The sequence below is a fragment of the Homo sapiens genome, chromosome 16, assembly GCF_000001405.40.
Source record: "Homo sapiens chromosome 16, GRCh38.p14 Primary Assembly".
Classification (NCBI taxonomy): domain Eukaryota; kingdom Metazoa; phylum Chordata; class Mammalia; order Primates; family Hominidae; genus Homo; species Homo sapiens.
In genome coordinates this window covers 1,352,167-1,368,745 of record NC_000016.10, presented here as the reverse complement: position 1 = coordinate 1,368,745, position 16,579 = coordinate 1,352,167, and the positions used below count along the sequence as shown (strand labels likewise).

General features: G+C 56.7%; 2 protein-coding genes across 32 annotated transcripts in view; one reads left to right on the top strand and one right to left on the bottom strand.

The window, feature by feature from the left end:
* Positions 1-5,541, top strand: part of UNKL (unk like zinc finger) — a 51,500-nt gene extending 45,959 nt beyond the window's left edge. For 12 of the 31 annotated variants that reach the window (NR_163466.1, XM_047434488.1, XM_011522612.2 and 9 more), the window contains 3 exons: positions 888-1,090; positions 1,397-1,654; positions 2,351-5,541. Coding sequence is in view for 18 of the 31 variants with exons in the window: in XM_047434488.1 (XP_047290444.1) it covers positions 888-1,090; positions 1,397-1,654; positions 2,351-2,506 (617 nt within the window). In the remaining 13 variants the exon portion in view is untranslated. The remainder of the gene's footprint in view (positions 1-887; positions 1,091-1,396; positions 1,655-2,350) is intronic. The other 19 variants (XR_007064899.1, XR_007064898.1, NR_160278.1 and 16 more) reach the window with 4 other exon arrangements.
* The window catches only part of GNPTG (N-acetylglucosamine-1-phosphate transferase subunit gamma), a 12,183-nt gene continuing 236 nt past the window's right edge, over positions 4,633-16,579 (bottom strand). Inside the window, exons 3-11 of the mRNA NM_032520.5 lie at positions 16,440-16,507; positions 6,949-7,003; positions 6,791-6,874; positions 6,615-6,708; positions 6,426-6,540; positions 6,212-6,294; positions 6,004-6,135; positions 5,840-5,921; positions 4,633-5,749 (exon numbers count right to left, since the gene is read on the bottom strand). Coding sequence (NP_115909.1) covers positions 5,655-5,749; positions 5,840-5,921; positions 6,004-6,135; positions 6,212-6,294; positions 6,426-6,540; positions 6,615-6,708; positions 6,791-6,874; positions 6,949-7,003; positions 16,440-16,507 — 808 coding nt within the window. The 3' untranslated portion in view covers positions 4,633-5,654. The remainder of the gene's footprint in view (positions 5,750-5,839; positions 5,922-6,003; positions 6,136-6,211; positions 6,295-6,425; positions 6,541-6,614; positions 6,709-6,790; positions 6,875-6,948; positions 7,004-16,439; positions 16,508-16,579) is intronic.

The following is a 16,579-nucleotide window of genomic DNA, read 5'->3' as shown; positions in this document are numbered from 1 at the left end:
TATTTTTAGTAGAGATGGAGTTTCACCATGTTGGCCATACTGGTCTCAAACTCCTGACCTCAAGTGATCTGCTGGCCTCGACCTCCCAAAGTGCTGGGATGACAGGCCTGTTTTTTTTTTTTTTTTTTTTTTTTTTTGAGACGGAGTCTCATTCTGTCGCCCAGGCCGGACTGCGGACTGCAGTGGCGCAATCTCGGCTCACTGCAAGCTCCGCTTCCCGGGTTCACGCCATTCTCCTGCCTCAGCCTCCCGAGTAGCTGGGACTACAGGCGCCCGCCACCACGCCTGGCTAATTTTTTGTATTTTTAGTAGAGACGGGGTTTCACCTTGTTAGCCAGGATGGTCTCGATCTCCTGACCTCATGATCCACCCGCCTCGGCCTCCCAAAGTGCTGGGATTACAGGCGTGAGCCACCGCGCCCGGCCTGTTTTTTTTAAGTAACATTTAAACTATTTCAGTCATAGTCTCTAAAGCTGCATAGACATTGGCAGTCACCACATGGACACAGCTCTGTGGGGTCTTTGAGAGTCTCAGTGTGTGAGGGGTTCCTGGGAGTGGAGTCTGAGAACCACTGCCCCTCCCACCTCATGGTGTGGTCCCAGGAACTTGAATTTAATTCCTCTCTGTTTAGACTCCTCAGGTGGCCAGGAAGGCGTAGATCTGGTGGGGAGACCGGCCGGGGCAGGTGTCACTGTCAGCGCCTCTTCCTGAGCCTGGTGGGGTCCAGGAGTGGGGCAAGGGGCAGGCGTGGCTGCACCCCTGCTGCCAGGGCAGGTGAGCCCCAGAGGGTGCCCACGTAGCGGTGGGGCCTGGGGCATAGCACCCACCAATCCCACCAGGCCGCGAGCACAGCAGGGCTGGGCCGTCATCGACCGTTTCACACTCAGGTTTGAACGGTGTCCCCGGGAGCATCTGGGACTTTGTTTCCGGCAGCTTCTCCCCCAGCCCCTCCCCCATCCTGAGTGCCGGCCCCCCATCCTCTTCGAGTGCAAGTCCAAACGGAGCTGAGCTGGCCCGGGTCAGGCGGCAGCTGGACGAGGCCAAGAGGAAGATCCGGCAGTGGGAGGAGTCCTGGCAGCAGGTGAAGCAGGTGAGTGTGTGGGGGGGCCAGACAGGTGAGGGGGAGGGAGGGCCGCAGGGGACTCAGGTGAGCGTGTGGGGGTGAGATGGGAGGGGAGGGAGGGAGGGCCGCAGGTGACTCAGGTGAGCGTGTGGGGGGTGAGACGGGAGGGGGAGGGAGGGAGGGAGGGAGGGAGGGAGGGCCGCAGGGGTCTCAGGTGAGGGGGCCACAGCTGATGCTGGGGAGGGGAGGGGAGGATCGCTGGTGACACAGGCAAGAGGGTCTGCAGGTGGCACAGGTGAGGTGGGGGGTGCTGAGACGGGCCCTGGGTTTCAGGTCTGCGATGCCTGGCAGCGAGAGGCGCAGGAGGCCAAGGAGCGTGCCCGTGTGGCCGATAGCGACCGGCAGCTGGCGCTGCAGAAGAAGGAGGAGGTGGAGGCACAGGTGAAGCAGCTGCAGGAGGAGCTGGAGGGCCTGGGCGTAGCCTCCACACTGCCGGGGCTGCGGGGCTGTGGGGACATCGGCACCATTCCCCTGCCGAAGCTGCACTCGCTGCAGAGTCAGCTGCGCCTGGACCTGGAGGCGGTGGACGGCGTGAGTCCTGCTCTGGGCAGGGTGAGGGGCCAGCCTGCCTGCAGGGCTGCTGTCCCTGTCTGGGGAGGGCCCTGGCTGGTGCGGTGTCCCCTTCCTCCCCTGCCCCAGGGTCTGCTCCGGGCCTAGGGAGGAGGAGACGGTGCCCCACCCCAGCACAGCCCCCTGTGGCCTCCTTGCCTGTCTCCCTGGGAGCCGCCTTTCCTGTCAGGCTGGCCCTTGCCCTTTCACCCCTCCCTCTTGTCAGCGAATGCCACACTGCTCCCCGTGGCCCCATCCCTCCCTGTTCACAGCTGTGACCCTCACACATGACCCCTCCACTTCGGCGTGCCCCTCCTCACCTCGCCTGCTAAGGGTGGGCTCTTGGACTCGCTGCTATAGGACAGAGGGTCCTGCGTAGCCCACATCCTGGGCACCCAGCTGCCCTCAGGGGCCTGGCCTGTCTGGCCACTGCCGTGTCTGTGGTGGCCCCAGGAGGCTGTCCTCTGCCCAGGGCTCTTAAGACAGAGCATACCCCCTGACCCCGCAGCTGCCTTCTCCCTGAGGTGGCCCTGGCTGGGGCGTCTCCCTGACCCTGTCTCTGTAGCTGGTGGCCGGGCGGCCTGAGATGCTGAGTCCTGCCCGGAAGGCCCTCCGGCTCCCCAGCTGGCCCAGCCTGGGCAGGGGCCTCCTGAGCCCGTCATTGTTCTGGCCCTGCAGGTGATCTTCCAGCTCCGCGCCAAGCAGTGTGTGGCCTGCCGGGAGCGGGCCCACGGTGCTGTCCTGCGGCCCTGTCAGCACCACATCCTCTGTGAGCCGTGTGCGGCCACCGCACCTGAGTGCCCCTACTGCAAGGGCCAGCCCCTGCAGTGGTGACCTCAGCGGGGACAGCCACCTCCTGCTGGGCACCCTGGCTCCAGCGCTCCTCCTGACCACGGACATGTCGTCACTCGCTTCTGGTGCCACCGACGTGAGGACCGAGGCTGGGAGCCCTTCCTGTTACACGTTATCATGAGGCTGGGAGCCCCGCCTGCGCTTGGCCTGACAGCCTTTCCTGTCACACGTTGTCACCTATCTAGTCCTACCGACGGTTTCAAGGTATTTTCCTCAAAAACCTTAAATGCAAACCCACAGAACCCGCCTGCCTGTCCCTGAGGGGCCTGGTGCCTCCGGGATCCACGCGGCGCTGTGATCACAGCAGTTTGTGGTCCTGACACTACTGTGACTAGGCCACTGGGAGCTGGGGTCTTTCAAAGCACTTTGTAAACCGAGGAATTTAGTTAGAGGTTATAAATTGCTCTAAGCTGCTTTCTGTTTTTTTTTAATATGCGATAATATGAAGCTTTATATGTGTACTGTGAACTTAAATATTTCATATCAGTTTATTGTCAATTCATAGTATGCTAAATATATTAGATTTCATATTCTGAAACTAGTACTTATGAAATGAGTGTTTATCTAGTAGTAAGACCTAGGATTTTTACATTTTCCAATTAAGTGCAAATAGTATTTATAAGCAGAGTGATTATGGATTGAGATGTTTTTAACTTGATGGAAGGAGCTAGTTTTCCTGAGCCTGTGTGTGCACCAGGCACTGGGGCTGATGTTCCAGCCTCGTGGCGTGGGAGCAGGAGAGCTCCGTCCTGCATTTCTGTGGTCCGTGGCCGCTGTTTCTGTGCGCCTGCGCCTCGGAGAGCAAGTGAAGGAGCATCATGGGTTTTGTTTTCTCCCTTAACCCTCTGAAAGACAGTTTGATACTAACAAAAAACGCAGCAGAGGGGATCCGACGTCAGAGCTTTTAGAATTACTTTTTTAAGCAGCTGTCTTCTGGCTGGGTGCGGTGGCTCATGCCTGTGATCCCAGCACTTTGGGAGGCGGGTGGATCACCTAAGGTCAGGAGTTCAAGACCAGCCTGGCCAACATGGTGCAACCCCGTCTTAGTAAAAATACAAAAATTGGCCTGGCGTGAGAGCGGGCACCTGTAGTCCCAGCTACTCGGGAGGCTGAGGCAGGAGAATCGCTTGAACCTGGGAGGCAGAGGTTGCAGTGAGCCGAGATCGCGCCACCGCACTCCAGCCCGGGTGACAGAGCGAGACTCTGGCTCAAAAAAAAAAAAAAAAAGCTGTTTTCTGATTACTCAGAGCTGTCCTAGGCAATGGTGCTTTGTAGCTCCTTGGAGATGTCGCTGGGCGTCCTGGCAGGGGTCAGGCAGTGAACTGGGAGAGTGGTTGCCTCCCCAGCACCCGTGACCACCCTGGTCCTGCTCGTGTGGGAGATGCTCGGGCCGTGTGTGCGCCAGGGTCCGGGGTGCCGGGTGTATGTGGCAGTCACCTGACCCGCGCTGCCAGTTATCATCGGAGCTCATCCATGTGGCCAGTGAGGTCACAGGAGAGGACCCGGCCACAGCCTCTCAGTGGCCTGGAGCACACGGGGGAAGCGACCCCCCCCAGGTCCCGGCTCTGCTGTGGTCCCCTGTCCCGTCTGCCCCTGGAGCGACAGTGTGGTTTCGGCCGCAGCAGAAACGTGACTGAGAACGCATCCCCGCGATGACCTGACCCTTCTGCTCAGGGCTGGGACTGTCCCTAGGAGTTGAGCAGGAACAGGCATCTGTGGTTTACGGCGACCTGGCTCTCCGCGGGCCACGTGGGTGGTGAGGGCACACGAGTGGGAAGCGGCACCGACGTGTTTCTCCCCGACCGTGGCTTTGCCAAAGACTTTTAATAGCATTTTTTAAGTGCAAAACGTCTAGGTAAAAATCTTTATCATCAGTGACCAAATTAGAATGTATTTAATATAGTAGGTGGTTTAAGAACTGTTTTAACGTAAGACAAACTGATAGCAACATTCTGTTGTTTTAAAGGAAGTGGGTCCGTGACATTCTGCAGCTAGTCCACTACTCCAAGGTAACTATCGACTTGGTTTCAGTGAATCTATTTTGTTTTTAACTACAGTGATTTATTAGCTCAGTATCTAGAAATTACGTATATTTTGTGCTACTGTCATCGATGTGTAAACTCTGTTTTTATTTGTATTTATGCACTTGGTTCCCATTTGGAGCCTCTGGTCTTTTCTGGGATAAGTGGTGTCTGCCGAGACATCTCCCGGTTGTCAGTGGTCAGGAGCAGCTGAGCTCTAGTCTGCCAGCTGCTCTGCTCTTTCTGGGAAGGAGGTGGCGCCCGCCCCTCAGGGTGTCTCCAGGGCTCAGCTTCCGGGGTGGTAGAGCTGGGGAGCCCCAGGGGTGGGGGGACAGCTGGGAGATGGAGGTGGCACCTGCTCCCCTAGATCAGTACTGGCTCTGAGGACAGGTGAGCAGTGGGAAGACCAAAGAATGGCTGGCAGCGCTGCCAGGGTTGGAAATGGGGGCAAGATCCTGGGGCTGTGTGCCCTGGGGCCTCCCTCACCTGTCTTGGTGGCCATGGCCTCAGGGATGGCTCCTAGGTGGCTGAGGCACAGCAGTGGCTGGAAGGTGCCCCGTGGAGGCTGAGGTGGAGGCGCGCCCAGCAGCTCCCCCCTGTGGCCATGGCGGGCACGGGGCGTAGGAGCTGGCTGGCGGCCGGCTCTGCATGTTCTTGTTGCCTGTCGTCTGTAACTCTAGTGTTCGACATTCGCCGTGATACAGTGGTGTCACGACGTGTGTAACTGTGGTCAGCAGACCTTGTTCCGCGTGGACGCCTCAAGTGGATTAATTTCTGGAAGCCTCAATCTGTATGTTTGAGTATTTACATGAGAATGTTATTTGAATGGAATTTTCTTAACCCAGAAGGTAGTATTTATAATCATTTACTTGTAGCGAACTGTTTAAAGTTAACACTTGTTTAAATTTTTTTACACTATAGCATTTATGCAATGGTTTACAGAATTCATGGAGTTATTTTTATCAGTATGGGAATTAATTAAAACCTTGAATCTTTGTTTTGTCTGCTTCTCTGAGCACAAGCCTGGTCAGCTGGTCCCTGCGGGTCCTACCAGCCAGCTTCTCTGTAGGGCTCTCGGCCGCGTCCACCTCTGCTCTCCCACCACAAGGTCACAAACTCCCACGCAGTCCTGGGTCACCCCGCAGCTGCTCTGGAGACTTGGCTCTGGGCGTCTCGTGGCCCAAGTGCTCCAAGTTGGAAGTTTCTGCCAAAACACCAGGTGGCCAGTCCTCACCTGGACCCACAGGTGGCGAGTGTGATGGTGAGCCTGGCCCTCTCCCCACAGGTGACTCACCTGTGGGCCTCGTGTAGGGGATGCCGTGCTGGGTGAGCAAACCTTTCAGCCTTTTGATCTCCTTTGAGAGTTCTTTATGAGCCTACCAACCACAAAAAGAGTTCAAGGGAAAGCCCAGGTGCTGGAGGGCTACTGCGTGCCACCACCTCCCCCCAATACGGTACCTTCCTGCAGTTTTCCAGGGTCTCAAACCCCAAGCTGTCAGGACCTCCCTCCAGCTGGGTGGGTTCATTTTCTTCTGGGGTCTTTAAGTAGCCAGCATCCTCAAAAAGTGTCCTCAGCAACTTCTCATGGCCCTGAAGGTGGAGGATGCAGGGGCAGCACCCAGCTCCCAGCCAGGCCCACCAGGGGCCACCCCGAGCGCACGCTTACCTGGGGGGTGATCAGCTCATCGGCCAGGTCCTGCTCTACCTGGTCCCACTGCCGCTGCAGGGCCTCTGGCAGGGTTGGGTACACTGAGGACCCAAGAGAAGCCAGGCTCAGCTGCACCCCATGTCCCAACCCTGGCCCCCAGCACTACAGGGCCTCCAGCAGGGCTGCGTGCGCGGCTGACCCCACTGGGCTCAACTGCGTCCCGCACCCCTACCTAGCAAGGCGTGGGGGTGGCAGACGAGGGGGGTCTCGAACGTCAGCGCGTAGACGCAGGTGCTCGGCTCGGACACATGGGCCAGCCGGTTGCTTTTTCCACACGCCAGCTCCACCTGGGGAGGGAACGTGGGTAGGTGGGTTGGGGAGACTGGGGCCCCTCTTCCCGGGCTCCCGTCTGAGGCCCCACCTTGCTCTGCCGGCTCCGGGAACGGCAGGCGTCACCGTCCCTCATCCACATGCCCGTGAAGGTGTTGTTGGCGATCTCCCACTCGTGCCAGATGCTGGGGAGACACGGGCACGGCACGTGAGGCCGGGTGGGGAGCTGCGCTGCTGCTTTGGGATCCCTGCCCCGGCCCCACTCACCCGAGGATCCCACTGTAGGCGTTCCAGCGGAAGGTCTGCTCGTGCTGGGTCACGTTGTGGAACGGGCAGAACTCATACTTGTACCTGGGGACACAGATGGCATGAGGGGGGTCCGCAGGCTGCGCCCCAGCCCACCCTCGCACCCACCCTGCACTCACGTGGACTCCACCAGGCTGAAGCACTTGCCCGAGAGTCGGAAGAGATGCACGGGTCCTGGAAGAGACCTCACACTGATCCCCAGGGTCCAAGCACAGAACCTGTCTGCAAAGACTGGCAGAGTCTGTTTTCAAAGGACCAGTTTTCTTTTTTTTTGAGATGGAGTCTCACTCTGTCACCCAGGCTGGAGTGCAGTGGCATGATCTTGGCTCACTTCAAGCTCCGCCTCCCATGTTCACGCCATTCTCCTGCCTCAGCCTCCCAAGTAGCTGGGACTACAGGCGCCCGCCACCATGCCCGGCTAATTTTTTGTATTTTTAGTAGAGACGGGGTTTCACCGCGTTAGCCAGGATGGTCTCGATCTCCTGACCTCGTGATCCACCCACCTCGGCCTCCCAAAGTGCTGGGATTACAGGTTTGAGCCACCGCGCCCGGCCAAGGACCAGTTTTCAACAAAAAGCACAAGACGTTCAAAGAAACAGGAAAACAGGTACCATTCAATGGAAGAAACTGACAAAACCGAGAATTCTAAAAATAGCCCTTCAAAAATTAGAGTTAAGGCTTGCTATCGTGGCTCATGCCTGTAATCCCAGCACTTTGGGAGGCCAAGGCGGGAAGATTGCTTGAGGCCAGGAGTATGACACCAGCCTGGGCAACACTGTGAGAACCCCGTGTCTACACAAAAAGCACACAGAAAAAATGAGCTGAGTGTAGTGGCGCGCACCTGTAATCCCAGCTACTCAGGAGGCTGAGGCAGGAGAATCTCTTGAACCCAGGAGGTGGAGAGTGCAGTGAGCTGAGATCGTACCACTGCACTCCAGCCTGCGTGACAGAGCAAGACCCTGTCTTCCCCACCCCCCAAAAAAGAGGACATTCCCAGATAAAAGCTTCAGGAGTTGGTTACATGCAGGCCGGTGTGCCACCCGGGGAAGTGAGCAGACAGCAGCTCAGCGGAGGCAGACGGAGGTCCTCGTGCAGGGTGAATTAATACCAGTTGCCTTTCTAGCTATGGTCTGTAAAGCTACAGGACTTAAACCAGTGGTCCCCAATCTTTTTGGCACCAGGGACTGGTTTCATGGAAGGCAGTTTTTCTACCAGCCGGGGGTGGGGATGGGTGGTTTGGGGATGAAACTGTTCCACCTCAGCTCATCAGGCATTAGATTCTTTTTTTTCTTTTGGAGACAGTCTCACTCTGTCACCCAAGGTGAAATGCAGTGGCGCGATCTCGGCTCACTGCAACCTCCGCCTCCTGGGTTCAAGTGATTCCCCTGCCTCAGCCTCCCGAGTAGCTGGGATCCCACGTGCCCGCCACCACGCCCAGCTAATTTTTGTATCTTCAGCAGAGGCGGGGTTTCACTGTGTTGGCCAGGCTGGTCTGCAACTGTGGACCTGAAGTGATCCGTCCACCTTGGCCTCCCAAGTGCTGGGATTACAGGTGTGAGCCACTATGCCCGGCCTGAAAGACTAACTTCAGATTTAAAGACATAAACAGGTTGAAAGTGAAGGTATGGAAAAGTATTCATATAAACAGGCAAAAGAGAGCTGAAGTGGCTGAAACTATTTTAAGAGACAAAGATGTTATACATTGATAAAAGGGTCAATGTGCCAAGACACCACAATTATCCACGCACAAACAGTGCCACCCACTACATAAAGCTGACATGAGACATCCATACGCCACTTTTTTTTTTTTGAGACGGAGTCTAGCATTGTCGCCAGGCTGGATTGCAGTGGCACGATCTTGGCTCACTACAATCTCCACCACTGGGTTCAACCGATTTTCCCGCCTCAGTCTCCCCAGTAGCTAGGATTACCGGTGCCTGCCATCACGGCTGGCTAATTTTTGTATTTTTGTAGAGACGGGGTTTCTCCATGTTGGCCAGGATGGTCTCAAACTCCTGACCTCAGGTGATCCACCTGCCTCAGCCTCCTAAAGTACTGGGATTACAGGCGTGAGCCCCAGCGCCCAGCCTGATGGATTCAATATTTTTAAGATGACAATACCACCCAGAGTGATCTGCAGATTCAATGCAACCCCATCAAAACCCCAATGACAGTTTTTGCAGAAATAGAAAAACACATCCTAAAGTTCATAGGGAGTCTCAGAGGACCCCAAATCATCGAACAAATCTTAAAGACAGAGTTGAGAGACTCGTACATACTGATTCCAAAAATTACTTCAAAGCTGTTATGATCAAAACAGTGTGATACTGGCATAAAGACTGGCATAGAGGCCGGGCGCAGGGTCTCACGCCTGTAATCCCAGTGCTTTGGGAGGCCGAGGCAGACGGATCACGAAGTCAGGAGATCGAGACCATCCTGGCCAACATGGTGAAACCTGATCTCTAATAAAGTACAAAAAAATTAGCCAGGCGTGATGGCGGATGCCTGCAGTCCCAGCTACTCGGGAGGCTGAGGCAGGAGAATTCCTTGAGCCTGGGAGGTGGAGAGGTTGCCGTGAGCCAAGATCGTGCTACTGCACTCCAGCCTGGGCTACAGAGTTAGACTCTATATGGAAAAAAAAACAAACCCATCAAGGGAGTGAAAAGACAACCCACAGAATGGGAGAAAATAAACACTGGCAAACCACGTATGTAAGAGACTCACATCCAGAACACAGAACTACAGCCCAACAATAAACTCAAGTTAAAAATGGGCAGAGAAGCCGGGAATCCCAGCACTTCGGGAGGCCGAGGCAGGCGGATCATGAGGTCAGGAGTTTGAGACCAGCCTGGCCAACATGGTGAAACCCCGTCTCTACTAAATAAAAATGAGCCAGGTGTGGTGGCTCACGCCTGTAATCCCAGCTACTTGAGAGGCTGAGGCAGGAGAATCGCCTGAGCCTGGGAGGCAGAGCTTGCAGTGAGCCAAGATGGCGCCACTGTACTCCAGTCTGGGCCACAGAGTGAGACTCCATCTCAAAAAAAAAAAAGGACAAACACCATAAGCAACTGAAAAGATCCCACATGACTGATCATTAGGGAAATGCAAATTAAAACAACCCTAAGGTACCGCTTCACACCCACTAGGATGGCTGTTAGCAAAAAACAGTGTTGGTGAAAATGTGGAGAAACTGGACCCCTCGTGCAATGCTGGCTGGAATGGGAAACGGTGCAGCCACTATGCAAACAGTTTGGTGGTTCCTCAAAAAGCTAAACATGGAATTCTAATAAGATCCAGCAAAGCTACTCTCAGAAATTGGAAGCAGAGACTCAAATATTTACACCCAAGTTCACAGCAGCCTATTCCCAGGCAGAGGGTGGAAGCCACTCCAGTGTCCATGGACAGATGACGGGTAAACAACAACGTGGTCTGTCCTTGCAGTGGAACAGTCCTCAGCCATATAAAAAGGAAGCACTGAGAGCCTCCAGCCTGGGGGACCTTGGGGACACTGTGCCAAGAGGAGTTGGTCAGACACAAAAGGTCGCACACAGTTATGAGTCACCTATGTGACGTCTATGAATAGCCAAGTTCAGAGACAGCAGAATGGTGGGTGCCGGGGCTGGGGGAGCGGGGCAGCTGGGAGTCAGGGTTTGAAGGGGACAGAGCAAGTTGTGGAGATGATGGTGCTGACGGTTGCAGGGCAGTGTCACCAGCGCCTGGGGGAAGAGGGAAGGCGTGCAGCGTCCCTACCCTCCAGCCAGGCCAGCCCCAGGCAGTGCTAGAGCAAGGGCGTGTACACATCAAGGCCAGTGGCAACTCGTGAGTCAAGCCACAGCAGCCACCCTGTTCTTTAAGCTGGGGAGTCGGGACCTGGCTGGGGACGCCACCTTAACACAGCGCCCACCGAGACTGTCAGCCACGGGCCATCCTCCAGGACTGTGGGGAAGGCTGGGGCTTGGGCCGTGGAGGCAGGGAGGGGACTGGCCCCCATCCCCGTCCCCTGAAGGGCCTGCGCTGCAGCAGCAAGTGCACTGGTTAGAGGAGGACGCCCCAGACTGATGTTTCAAACTCTCTGTAGTTTTACCGTATTAATAATAAAGTCGAGGCCAGGCGCGGTGGCTCATGACTGTCATCCCAGCACTGTGGGAGGCCGAGGCGGGCAGATCACGAGGTCAGGAGATCGAGACCGTCCTGGCTAACACGGTGAAACCCCGTCTCTGTTAAAAACACAAAAAATTAGCCGGGCATGGTGGCGGGCGCCTGTAGTCCCAGCTACTCAGGAGGCTGAGGCAGGAGAATGGCGTGAACCCGGGAGGCGGAGCTGGCACTGAGCCGAGATCGCGCCACTGCACTCCAGCCTGGGCGACACAGCACTCCAGCCTGGGCGACACAGCGACACTCGGCTCTAATAATAATAATAATAATAATAATAAAGTCGAAATACACACGAGGTGCTGGGTGACTGTTCCCTGGGAATCTGGCCAGCCCAGGAGCCAGATGCCACACTGGGGCCACCCTCAGCCTGGCCCCCGCCCCCGGAGGGCAGAGGCTAATGCCACTGAGACCTCTGGGGTGCTGGCCCGGCCTGGCCTTCTGTTCCCTGACATTCCACTCACCCCTGGGGCTGTCCCCTCCCAAGACAGATGGAGACCAAGATGGCCAGGCTGCCCTGCTCAGGGGACAGGGGCTGTGGATATAGAAAGGTCCTGGTCCTTCCTTGTCAAATACCATCTGGGTGGCCCCTACTCCCAGGCTCACCCACTGTCCTCCCAGCCTGACCGCTGGGGGCTCTACCTCAGCCCTGTCACACCTGCTGTCCCACAGCCTGGGGTGCTTGGGCTTGGTCCCTCCAGTCTGGCCCTAGGGCCCTGCCCAACAGGCACATAGGGAAGCCTTTGGAGCCATCCCAGAGACCCTGATGTGTCCCTCACCCATCTGCCACTCAGACTCCTGCCCGCAGACCGCCACCCGCACACTCCCGCCCGCAGACCCCCGCCCGCACACTCTCGCCCGCACACTCCCGCCCGCAGACCCCCGCCCGCAGATTCCCGCTCTCACACTCCCGCTGGGAGGGTGGCTGGTCAAGCTCCTGTGTCCTGGGAACTCACGTTCCCAGGCTTGCCCCAGGCAGACACTGCTTGGAGACACCCCAGGAGGGGCGTGGGCGCCGGGCTTAGCTCTGCACCTGCAGGGCCATCCGTCTAAACAGGACTGTGTGAGGGCAGCGGGGCCTGGCCTGGCTCCCCAGCTGGGAGGAGGCCTCTGCCTGGGTGCTGTCCACAGCTTCAGTGGACTCCTACTGGCTGAGGTGCAGCCTCCCGCAGGGGATGGTACCACAAGCCCCCAACTGGCAGTGCCCAGTACCCCAGGTCCTCTGCTGCTGGCCCACACCAGAACCCCGGCCACGGCCCCTCCCCTCCGCCTGGCCCTCAGGTTTCAGCAGCCTGTCCTCCTGAGACAGGTGGGGGCTGGCCCCTCCACGCCTCTTGGGCCAGACACAGCCATACCTGAGCGGGAGTCTCTACCCCCAAATACCACCACCCCCAAATGCCACCACCCCTGCCGGGAGGCTTCTCCTCTGCTCCTGCTTCACCCGCACGTCCCCTGCAGGCTCCGTGTTCACGGCCTGCATGGCCAGGACACTCGCCGGTGCCCTTGGCTCCCGCGGGCCCAGGTGGCCTTACTGCCAGCTGTCCCTGCACCCGAGGCCACAGCTCAAGGCCCATCAGCTTGGCTGAGCCTGGACTCCGTTTCCCCTCTGCCCCGGTCAGGCTTCGGTGGGCAGCACTCCCCCTAGGGCTGCGTCTCTTGGTGACAATCCCTTCTCAAGGGTGGTCCTCCCTCCCACGCTGCTCCCTGGCCCGGCCCCACACCTGGTCCCAGTACCCTCCCAACCTCCACAACCCCCACACGCCACCAAGAACTTCACCGGGGACCTCACCCTCACCCTCCGGCCTCACGCACCCCCTGGTGAGTCCTGTGCCCACCGTGACCCTCTCCAAGCACCAGGGACTGCCTGGCAGACCCAGCCCGGCCCCAGCCGAAAGCAAGCTCCCAGCCTGACCCCTGCAACTCACATGCTGGGAGCCGCACTTGCCATGGCTTCTCTAGCCAGGATCCCGGGGCCACTCTACTCCTCCCCCGCCCCCTCCCCAGATCCAGGACCCTGCCAAGGCCCCAGAGTCCTGCCCAGCTGGCCGCTCCCTCCCACCGCCACCGAGGCAGAGCTCCCTCCTGGACAGTGTGCTGGGCTATGCTGGACTCTGCTGGGCGCTGGCAGGACCACCACACTGACCGTGCCCCATTCCCTCTCCATGCCACAGCGGGACACTGTCTCCAAATCACAGACCTACCAACCTCTGCTCCTCCTGCTGTCAAGGGACGAGGCTCCCGACTCATCTGGTGGAGGCCATGGAGCTGCCCACTGCCCAGCCCAGCCCCACCAGCCTCGGCCCTGGCAAGCCCACCCCTTCCTTCTCCTTGGCAGACACTCTTCTGCGGGGACCTTCTGAGCCCTAGGCCACAATCACCACGCCCCTGAGTTTCTCAGCCTGATTATCTTTCTGCTCAGCTCATTCCACAGACCACACTCTCCTACCCACTGCACACAATCCGCCTCACACGTTGATGTTGAAGGAGCGCTACATCAAAGACAGAAAAAACAAGTAGAATATCCACACCCGACCCCACAGACGCAGGAGAGGATCCACACCCGACCCCACAGACGCGGGAGACGATCCACACCCGACCCCACAGACGCGGGAGACCATCCACACCCGACCCCGCAGAGGCGGGAGACCATCCACACCCGACCCCGCAGACGCGGGAGACCATCCACACCCGACCCCGCAGACGCGGCAGACCATCCACACCCGACCCCGCACATGCGGGAGACGATCCACGCCCCACCCCGCAGATGCGGGGGAGTATCCAGGCCCCACCCCACAGACGCGGGGGACTTTCCACGCCCGGCCCCACCCCACAGACGTGGGAGACAATCCACGCCCGGCCCTACAGACGCGGGGGAGTATCCACGCCCAGCCCTACAGACGCGGGGGACTATCCACGCCTGACCCCACAGGCGCAGGAAAAAATGGTCTGGAGAAAAACACCATCAACAAAACAAAAAGATCAGGAAACTGGGAAACAAATGTGCCACTTACATCCAAAGGTGGGAAGAGAACTGTTCCAAATTAAAACACTAAAGACACATAATGAACCAAATGCACATGTGAACCTGACTGGCCCTGATGTGGGGATGGGGGTGGGAAAACTAGAAGAGGTATTCTTTTCTAAATTTTTATGGGTTTTTTTTTTTTTTTTTTTTTTTTGAGACGAAGTCTTGCTCTGTCACCCAGGCTGGAGTGCAGGGGCATGATCTCAGCTCACCGCAGCCTCCGCCTCCTGGATTCAAGCAATTCTCCAGCCTCGGCCTCCCAAGCAGCTGGGATTACAGGAGGATACCACTATGCCCGGCTAACTTTTGTTTTTGTGGTTTTTTTTAGTAGAGACGGGGTTTCACCATGTTGGCCAGGCTGGTCTCGAACTCCTGACCTCAAGCGATCGTCACACCTCAGGCTCCCGAGCAACATGCACGCACCACCACGACCAGCATATTCTGTTTTCTTTCCAGGACTCTCACCTCCAAAAAGACGTGGTCCCATTAGCCAAGGCTGCCTCTCTCCTACTGGAAGGGGTTCGGTCGGGAACTGCGCTGTTACACAGTGGCCTGCCTCCTCCCCAGCTTCTTGGGATAGGTGGTGGCCCGACTCCAGCACTTCAGGCCCTGGGAAGCCACCATCCCATGGCTTCTGAGCCGCAGGGAAGTGAGCCTAACCCCAGGTGCGCCATCACGCCCAGCCACACAACAAAAAACTTAAAAAGATGTGTTTGGAGTCAAAGTCCACCAAACCTACCAACACGGTGCGGCACCATCTGATCCCCTTTATCTCTGATCTGTGGCTACCCCAGCTGAATCCCCTCTGGCCCTGGCTGTCCTGCTCAAGGCCTTTGGCCACTCCCTTTCCTGGATCCCTTTCCCCAAATAGCCACAGCTTTACTCCCTTTTCTCCTTTAGCTTTTGGCTGAAATGTCACTTCTTAGACTTTTCCTCAGCACCCTATTTAAAGCAATCCCCACCAAGACAGGAGGATTGCTTGACGCTGGGAGTTTGGGGCCAGCCTGGGCAACATAGTGAGACTTCCATCTCTACAAGAACACTTAACATTTGCCGGGCATGGTGGCGTGCACCTGTAGTCCCAGCTACTCAGGAAGCTGAGGTTGGTGGATTGCTTCAGCCCAGGAGTTCAAGGATGCAGTGAGCTATGATTGCACTACTGCACTCCAGCCCGAGTGAGAGAGCAAGACCCCGTCTCTAAAAAATAAAAAAAGCGATCCCCCAAACAATACTCTAACACACATACACACACTCCCTCCTCTGCTTCACACATCTACATGGCATTTTTCATCATTGGCCATTCTATGTATTTTATCTAATTCTACAGGCTCAGTGCCTGTTCCTCCATCCCTCCCCATTAGACTGTCAGCTCCATGAGGACAAGCATTGGTATATCTGTGTTCGTTTCTGCAACCCCAGCACAGACCCTAACACATAAAGGTATTCGATAATAAAATTACTAAAGCTGGGCGCGGTGGCTCACGCCTATAATCCCAGCACTTTTGGAGGCCGAGATGGGCGGATCACTTGAGGTCAGGAGTTCGAGACCCGCCTGGTCAATACGGTGAAATAAACCCTATCTCTACTAAAAATACAAAAATTTGCTGGGCGTGATGGTGATGCATGCCTGTGATCCCAGCTACTCGGGAGGCTGAGGCATGAGGATCGCTTGAACCTGGGAGGCGGAGGTTGCAGTGAGCCGAGATCGTGCCACTGCACTCCAGCCTGGGCGACAGAGCGAGACTCTTGTCTCAAAAAAAAAAAAAAAAAAATTCTTGGATTTTTGTCTATTATATTTAATACTCATTCAGCGTTTAAATGATATATATACTCATGACCCACCAATTCCACTTCTGGAATCCTGCACTGGGAAACCGCTCACCTGAGGGCAAACCAAAGCACCTACACAGCATGTTCTCCACAGAACTATTTCTAATGGCCAAAAAAATGGCAAGAACCTAAATACAATCGGGGAGTGCAGTGCCATCCTATCGCGTGCTGAGCACCAAGAGAAAGAACGAAGACCTATATCATCACCATGAAGCGTCCCGAGAGATACAGCGAGTGACAACGACAAATCAGCCAAATACTCGCGCAGCATGATTTTTTAAAAAAGCGATTAGATTACAAAAACTATACGTTTTCCAGTTGCATAGACACGCACGTAAAAGCACAGAAACGCGTCTGCAAAGTCACCAGACTATTAACAGCAGTTACCTCTCGGAAAGGAAAGGAAGGACTAAGTCTGGAGATAATTTAATTCGCTACAAGAACGTTCTGGTATATTCTCTCGTACTTCCACATTAATTTTAGAAGGCTGACAAACCAATGCTTTAGACTCCGGGCCGTAACTCTCAGGGTCACTCATCCATCCTCCACTGTTGCTGCTCCCCGCGGCCACCCCCGCGCCGGCCAACAGCGCTCCTCACTCACCAGACACGGGTGAAGGATCCCTCTTGGCCTGGAGGCGACTGGCCTGAGGCAAGAACGGGTTGTTCACCCTACGGGAAGCGGCAAGGTCAGCGGGGAACGGGCCCGGGCCGTCCCCCGCTCGAGCCGCCAGCCCGCGAGGC